This window comes from Homo sapiens, chromosome 11 (genome assembly GCF_000001405.40).
Source record: "Homo sapiens chromosome 11, GRCh38.p14 Primary Assembly".
NCBI classification, from domain to species: Eukaryota; Metazoa; Chordata; class Mammalia; order Primates; family Hominidae; genus Homo; species Homo sapiens.
In genome coordinates this window covers 20500804-20509769 of record NC_000011.10, presented here as the reverse complement: position 1 = coordinate 20509769, position 8966 = coordinate 20500804, and the positions used below count along the sequence as shown (strand labels likewise).

At 35.0% G+C, this 8966-nt stretch overlaps 1 protein-coding gene across 5 annotated transcripts in view; it reads right to left on the bottom strand.

The window, feature by feature from the left end:
• Positions 1 to 431: 431 nt before the first annotated feature.
• PRMT3 (protein arginine methyltransferase 3) overlaps positions 432 to 8966 on the bottom strand; it is a 121623-nt gene continuing 113088 nt past the window's right edge. For all 5 annotated transcript variants that reach the window (NM_005788.4, NM_001145167.2, NM_001145166.2 and 2 more), the window contains one exon: positions 432 to 1466. In NM_005788.4, the coding sequence (NP_005779.1) occupies positions 1357 to 1466 (110 nt within the window). In that variant the 3' untranslated portion in view covers positions 432 to 1356. The remainder of the gene's footprint in view (positions 1467 to 8966) is intronic.

Genomic DNA, 8966 nt, shown 5'->3' with positions numbered 1-8966 from the left:
AGTCTCCCTATGTTGCCCAGGCTGGCCTTGAACTCCTGACCTTAAACAATCCTCCTGCCTTGGCCTCCCAAAGTGTTGTGATTATAAGCATGAACCACCATGCCTGGCCCTGTTTTTTACTTTTAATTAATTAACTTTTCTAGAGACAGAGTCTTTCTCTGTTACCCAGGCTGGAGTGCAGTGGCACGATCTTGACTTACTGTAGTTTCCAACTCCTGGACTCAAGCAATCTGCTCACCACAGCTTCCCAAGTAGTTAGGACTACAGGCATGCACCACTATGCCTGGCTAATTTTTTTAAAAGAATTTTTTGTACAGACCTGTGTTGCCTAGGCTGCTCTCAAACTCCTGGGCTTAAGTGATCTTCCTGCCTTGGCCTCCCAAATGCTGGGATTATAGGTATGAGCTACCATACCCTGTTGAAATATTTTATAATGTTGTTTGATATATTTTATTGAAAACTTTTATAATATCAATATTTTTAAAATATTTTATAAGTTGATACATTTTATTAAAATTTTATTCTACATTTCAAATTGAATCAGTAATTGTAAATGACAACTTTATAGACTGCTTAGTAACAGTTACATGTTTAACCTTTGCACATAAATCTGGTTTGAAAAAGATAATACGTTAGTAAATAAGTACATATTTATCCCAATCTTTAAAAACTTTCATGAAACCTAGGATAAATGTATTGAAATTAGATTTCCTGGGCAGTACTAGAAATCTATAAGGCTAAGGAATAGTCACAAAGAGGGAAGAAACTACAAAATGAGAACCCTAAGTATGCTAGATAATCAACTAGGCTGTCTGCATATATGATTTGTATATGAAGGCTGAAGCTCTTTTCCATATTTTAGTTTTTTTATACAAATCTTTATTACATCCTGATTTTCTAGCAAATACAATTAAAAACTCCTCCTCAGAGGAGTCCATAATAAAATGTGTAGTACCTGTGTTACTAGTTTAATAAAATATCCAAATAACTAACCAATTTGTTTAAAATTTATAGTAAGAAACTTATTAAAAACAAAAGACTATCTCTCTTCCAAATATAGGCCAATGTAAATGATTTTCAATATAGATAAACTCAATGTGGGAGTTACATTTGGTTAAATCTGGTGGAGCAAACGTCTAAGAAAATGATTACGTGGCAGACCATGAGGATCAGCTGATTCTCTTCCTCAGCTGAACTATGTCAGATTCCCACAATGAGAACTTCTCTCTTATTGAGGAGGCTCATTAGGAAAGGGTCCATCATCCATCCATCTGCTCACATAAAACCAGCTCCCTCCTGCTGACCCACTCTACCCCCACATTAAAAACTACAAGGTAGTGTGCTTTTATGGCTGTTTCACTGGAGACCATAAGTTTGAGTTGAATTATTCAACGTGAGGGTCACGGTGAGAGAACGTGGATCTTTCTTATTCTTGTGAACTGTGACCTTTCCTTTCAAGGCTTCACCTGTAAAACAAAGGCAAAAATTGTTAAGAATTCAAGGAATACAGTGTAGCAGAAAAGTAAACAATGTATAACTAGCACTTCTTTTTATTGTGATGTTTTCCCACTTTTTAAACTTTATTTAAGGTTAATATTCTTTTTTTTTTTTTTTTTTTTTAAGATGGAGTCTCACTCTGTCACCCAGGCTGGAGTGCGGTGGTGTGATCTCAGCTCACTGCATTCTCCCAGGCTGGAGTGCACTGGTGCAAGCTTGGCTCACTGCAACCTCCGCCTCCTGGGTTCAAGAGATTTTCCTGCCTCAGCTTCCCGAATAGCTGGGACTACAGGCGCATGCCACCATGCCCAGCTAATTTTTTATTTTTAGTAGAGATGGGGTTTCACCATGTTGGCCAGGCTGGTCTCGAACTCCTGACCTCAGGTGATCCACCCGCCTCAGCCTCCCAAAGTGCTGGGAATACAGGAATGAGCCATTGTGCCCAGCCAATATTCATTTTTTAGAGCAGCATTATGTTTCATTAATTTTTTTTTTAAGACAGTCTCTCTCTGTTGCCCAGGCTAGAGTGCAGTGGTACAATCCCAGTTGACTGCAACCTCTGCCTCCCGTGTTCAAGTGATTTCTCCTGCCTCAGCCTCCCAAGTAGCTGGGATTACAGGCATGCGCCACCATGACCTGCTAATTTTGTATTTTTAGTAGAGACAAGGTTTTGCCATTTTGGCCAGGCTGGTCTAGAACTCCTGACCTCAGGTGATGCGCTCACCTACCTCAGCCTCCCAAAGTGCTGGGATTACAGGCGTAAGCCACTGCGCCCAGCCCTGTTTCATTAATTTTTGAATGAAGCGAGAACTAACTACATACCACAGTGTCAAATCCTTGTGAAAGTGAGTAAAACTATTGTGGTCATAAAGGGTCAATGGAAGCATTTTACTGAACTTCTAAATATGAGGCCCTATGGTGGGTTCTGGGCATCTAGAAAAAAGATATGGTCCCTGCCCTCAAAGAGTTTGTGATCAGGGTGAAGAAAAAAGCTATACTAACAATTACACAATAGGCATGTGTCTAAAGTGTGCTGGAGGTGAGCACTGGGGATGGTTGGAAGGCAGTTAAAGGCAAGGTTTCACAAGAATTAATGAATTACCCAATGCCAGGGCTGAAGTCATGGAGAACCAGGCTTAAGGGATGTACATGTAATGGTATTTAAGGAAAACACATACACAGAACCTTCAGGAATGGCATTTTGAGGAACTGAAAATTATAGCTGGGAAAATGTAGAGGCACATGACAAAGCCATTGGCCATTGATGCACTGGTGCTGTAAAAGGGAAACAATGTACCCATGTGAAACAGTGAACACACAAAAATTACTTACCTGTGCAAAGGCTGATTTCCTAAATTCTGTAGGTTCCAAATTTTTATCTATGTACTTTTCTAATTATAAATACTTCTCATTTAATTTTTCATTTATTTTAAAGAGCTGTTTAAAAAGTAACAAATTGCTAAGTTGTAGTTGATCACCATTCTTTGCTTAAATAATATTAAGATAACACCAAACAGTGTCAGGAATAGCTTTAGCATCTGCATGGACACAATGAGGCTCCATATAATGACCAAGGAAATCTACATAAAACTATTGAAGTACTGAATGAATATCGTATTTAAAAAAATACAAATTCCCCATATTCAAGGAAAATTATCTGAATGCTTTTCAAGATGGTAGTGAAATAACACAAGTAAAACATAACCACCTGTTATATTTATTTTCAGAATATAAAGATTCCATTACTGATACCTTCTCTACATCTTTGCAAAAAAGGTGAGACTCACAGTTTAACACATAATTAAGGAGTTAAATAATAGAAGAAATAATGTGGCCCAAGGTGCAATCCATTCAACAAAATATAACAATTTTTGTGTACGTATATATGTTAATGTGTATATTTGGCTTTAGCTTTTATATCTGACCTATTCCTCTATATTAAGAAAATGATATAAAACTATCTCATATGACATGTTCACCAATAGTGGACATAATAAAGATTACCAGTCAGATAGTTCTACAAACTTTATGGAGTTCAGGTTAATCATTAGATAATTTATGCTTATATTTATTCAACACTTACTTTGTGCTAGGCTCTACTCTAAGGTCTTTACATGATTTATCTCACTTAATGGTCACAAAATATTGCTATGAGGTAAGCGCATTTTCCTTACTCACAGATGAAGTTCAGAAAAGGTAAGTAATTTGCCCAAGGTCATCTGCCAGCTAGTGAAAGAACTAGGATTTTCAGCAAGGCAGTTTGATTCCAGAACCCAAGTTCCTCAACTATACTCTGGTGCTTCCCTATCTCTATCTAAAAAAATGATGATTATAGCTTTAAATATACTATAATGAATAAGAAATAGACCTAAATTTTACCGCCCCGTGGGTTTTGTTTTTTTTTTTTGGTAAAAATATTTACTTGTTTATAAACACAATTGATATGTAAGTTGATGTAACTATTATTCTATAATAACTAATGAACAATGATACACGTTTTCTTATCTAAGGCATTAACCTAAGGAAGAAATAAAAGATCATTAGTATATTGAACACATTTAAGATTTTCCTATTTTGACTTTTCTATTTTGGCTATTTTATTTGCTTCTTTTTAAATCAACATTTAAAAACTTCTATTTAAGTTATTTATTGACACCAAAACTGGGAACGAACAGCCACATTATGATAAACTGACAATGTTTTTGTAAATACATGACAGAGAATAGTAATTGCCAACTTGGTTATTGGGTTTAACTTACTGTTATTGAATTGCCAACACTGAATCAACAAACTTGATTTTTACAACACAGTGGCTTGTTAGTTCCTTTTTACTTACAAGCAGTATGTCTTATACAAATTACTTAATTTAGTTGCTGGTATAAAGTAGTTCACATATGAAAAGACAGATAATGGACACTTGAGATTCAAAAATAACAAAATGACCTCCAGAGACCCAACATAAAGTAAGTATTCTATTAGATGTCCTAGTCAGGACATTAAAGTGTGGAGGGAAAAAGGATACAGACTGGGGGAGGGGGAATTAAAGTTTTCATTTGCATACTACCTGGTTTTATACATAGAAAATCCTGAAGCTATATGCAAAGAAGGCTACTAGAACTATTTATTGAAGTTTAAGCAAGGTCTTATGATTTAGGATCAAGGTATAAAAATTCTATTTCTACGTACTAGCAATGAAGAATTTATATAATACTACAAACAACAGCTTCAAAAAAGCATAAAGGCTGGGTGTGGTGGCTCATGCCTGTAATACCAGCACCTTGGGAGGCCAAGGTGGGCGGATCACTTGAGACAAGGAATTCGAGACCAGCCTGGCCAACCTGGCAAAACTCTGTCTCTACTAAAAACACAAAAATTAGCCAGGCATGTGGTGCACACCTGTAGTCTCAGTTACTTGGGAGGCTGAGGCACAAGGATGGCCTGAACCCAGGAGGTGGCAGTTGCAGTAAGCAGAGATCATGCCACTGCACTCCAGCCTGGGCGACAGACCGAGTCTCAGTCGCTCTCGCTCTCTCTCTCTCTCTCTCTCTCTCTCTCTCTCTCTCTCACACACACACACACACACATACAATACTTGAGATAAATGTAACAATATATGTCTGACTTACATAAACTACAAAACAACTTTAAAGATGGTCCACATAAATGGAGAGACCCACTCTCTCGTGAGTGAAAGACTCAATGTTGTTAAGATGTCAATTTTCCCTAATCTATTGATTTAACAAAATCCCAGTCAAAATCCTAACAGGCTTTCTTAGGCCAGAAATTAATGAGCTGATTTTAAAATTTATATGGCAATATAAAGGACCTAGAATAGCCAAAACAACTGTTTGTGTAAATCTTGCCATTTTGTTCTTTTTCAATCTTATAAAGACTGTCTTAAAGGCACAAGGACAGACATACAGATCCCTGGGGGAAAATGAGAGCTCAGAAGTAGATCTATATGCATATGGTCAATTAATTTTTGACAAGGGAGCCAAGGCGATTAAATCGGAAAAGGATAGTCTTTTTAAGAAATGATGATGGAGCAAGTGAATATACATTTGGGAAAAGATGAACTATTATTAACTTTTAAATTTAACTCAATTAGATGACCACCCAATTTGAAATCAAGCAAAATATCTGAGCAGAAATCTCACAAGAAGATATAAAAATGGCCAATACACATATGAAACAATGCCCAACATCACATCAGGCAAATGAAAACTACAAGCACAGCTATAACTACATACTCAAAACGGCTTAAAATACTGCATCTTTTTTATAAGTGTTAAAAATGATGTGGAACAACTGAATTCACAATGGTGTTAGCCCTAGGGATGTTAGATAGCATAGTCATTTTTAAAAAATTTGCCAGTTTCTTATAAAGTTAAATATACACTTACCATAAGACCCAGTAATTCCACTTCTAGGTACTTACCCAAGAGAAATGAAAACATCTGTCTGCACCAAGACTTTTACATGAATATTCATAGCAACTTTATTCTTAATGGCCCCTAACTGAAAGCAATACAAAAGTCTAGCAGCAGGTGAATACCTAAGTAAACTGTGGCATAGCCAAAGGAATATTACTTGGCAATAAAAAGGAACAACCTAATGATAGAAGAATCTCAAAAAAAAAAAATGCCAAGAAAGCTAGAGTACATGCTGTATAATTCCATTGATAAAAATTCTAAAAAGGTAATACTAACATATAATGACAAAGCATATCAGTGACTGTCTTGGTCTGGGAATCACGGTTGGGGACTGACCATACAGGGAATTGCAGAAGAAACTTTTTGGAGTGATGGAAATAATCTATATTTCCACAGTGGTATATGTAATTTTCAAAACTCAATGAGCTGTACAATCAAAATGTGTGAATTTTGATTATATGTAAATTATTTGTTTAAAAATGTGGTGCCTAGGAATAAACACAGACAAATGAGAGAAATAAGATCAATTATGAAGACTCAGTACATAGTAAGTGGAGCATTTTAAGTCACTGAGGAAAGGATTCAATACATTGTACAAAAGTAGTAATATAATCTTTTAAAGGATGAAACCAAAGCCAGACACCAAAAGCAAAAGGTTGACAGATGTGACTATAAAAAATGAAAAAAAATTCTATAAAGCAAGATAGTTTAAAGAAAGAAAAGCAAATTAAAGCAGTGTCTTTGTGTAACAAGTATTTTTTAAGTCTGAATTTTGAATTGATTCTTTAGGATGGATTATCAGAAGTATAATTCCTTCATAAAAGGTATGAAATATATTCCAGTGTTACATTCCTGCCATCTTCATCAACAAAAGAGTAAATGAAAAACAACAACCAAAACGTGATTGCTCTGATTTGTATTTCAAATCAGAGGAGATAAGTACTATTTATTTAACTACCATCTAAAAAATCTGGTGCATTTACCTTACTTCTTTTCTCATTGAAGCATATGAGGTATTGCTAGTAAATATTTCATTTTTGTACATTTGTTCTGATGGTTGCTGCTCTTTCATTTACATTGCCTTTTGAGTGTTAAAAATATGTAAGCTGTCTTGTTTATAGAAGTCCTATTCAATCCTTAGTGCAAGTCAAAATAGAAATGTTCCATAGTGCTTATAAATCTGGTTATCATCTTCATTTCAGGATCAAAGGATGTACCTATAAGAGTTCTATGCATTCCTCAGTTTAGAAATAAAAAACCCCAGTCAAAATGAATTAGTAATGGATATTTGTTAATTTTTCACAAAAGAAAAAATGCTAAGCATCAATATAGCAGCTGAAAAATTAACATAATGTCATATATATAAGCTGATGCTGATAACCATGATTTTCATTTCTTAAAATGAAATACAGGTAAATCTTTTCCATAATCATATTTCAAAGATGAGGGTGCACACACAATCATTTAAGTTAATTAAGTAGCATGAAGGGTCACAGTAATAAATACATAATTCACACTGCTGATCTCCCTTCAATTGTTCAGACCTAACTAAAGTGCCAAGGCAGTGGCTATAATACCAGAATGAATCAGAGTAATTAATCAGTGTCAAATAGATATAAAATGACTGATGTTGTTAAGTGTGTGCACTGTGGTGAGAGCTGGAAGGAACACTCTGGAGCTGAGCCGCATGGACTTGTTTTTTATCATCAGCAGACGGCTGTTAGTATATCACAAAGCAGTGCCGTAGTTCAAGAACAAAATTGACTTCATTTTAATTGTTACAGTGTATTTTTTAGAATTAATTTCTTCCGGAGCAATGAAACTTCATTTCCCCAGAAAAAGGAAAGAAAAACACAACAAATCATTATTAATTGTTGTCAAAGCTTAGAGTTTAAAAATGAAAGAAAAAAATCCCAGATTATCTATCATATAAAAGCTTACTATGTACTGTATGGATAAATAAAGAGAAATAGCCTGATTTTATATTTTCAAAGCCAAATCACATTAAAAAGATTTGAATTTTAAAGTACTGCCATATTTACTTACAATAAAAGTTTGTACAATAAAACTGTACATGAATTGTAAAGGGAAAACCCACCCTGAATTCAAACTTTAAGTGTCCTCATCTAGGCAAAATAACTCTATAGTTCCATTTACAATATTTTACTTATCTTGTCATATTACCTTCTGGACACTAAAATAAGCTTTACATACAGTAATTTTTCCAAACTAGACTCATAGCTTCATTTATTTTTATCTAAAAATCTTATAGTACATTGGGTCAAAAGCTACTTTTAGTTTCAATATAACTATAGAGAACTCTTTTTCAGCCACACCAAGGTAAGTTTGAATATTAACCTGCTCAAGTGCAATAGTATGATGAAATTTCTGGTAACACCAGAGTTGGCAAAATTGGCCATCCAAATATGGACACTAGATGACCTTGGCATAGTGTTACCCAAGGTGATGGAGAAAATTGGATTTCAATGACAATATATATTATTGTACTTATTCATTTATTCAGCACAGTATGTCAAATACTACATCACATCAAGAAGGAATGAGGGAGGCACACTAAGATGTTGAACTTCTATTAGAACTCCAGTACACTAAGATGTTGTAACAAATGTGTATATGAATTTATCTGGGGAATCAAGAAAGGGAACAATTAGCTCTGAAGACATTTAAATTTTACAGAAATTAGCTATGTCATGAAGGGTAAATTGGAATTTATCAAGTGAAAGAGGTCAAAACAACCTTCTAGGTAGAAAAACATCTTGGACAAAAGCAAGAAAAATAAAAGTTAGCTTAAAAATGAGCAATCTGTACAACTGGAGTACATGAGCTTACCTGGGGTTGTGAAAGGATGGGGTTGGAAATGATGAAAAACCAGAGTCAGACTGCAAAGGGACATAGGAGTTTGTATTTTATCCTGAAGATATTGACTGTCCAGTGAGAAGTTTAAAACTAACTTTACGGTGTTACTTACATAAAATGTGTTCGAATGTTGCCACTATCTTAGTTTCATAAACCACT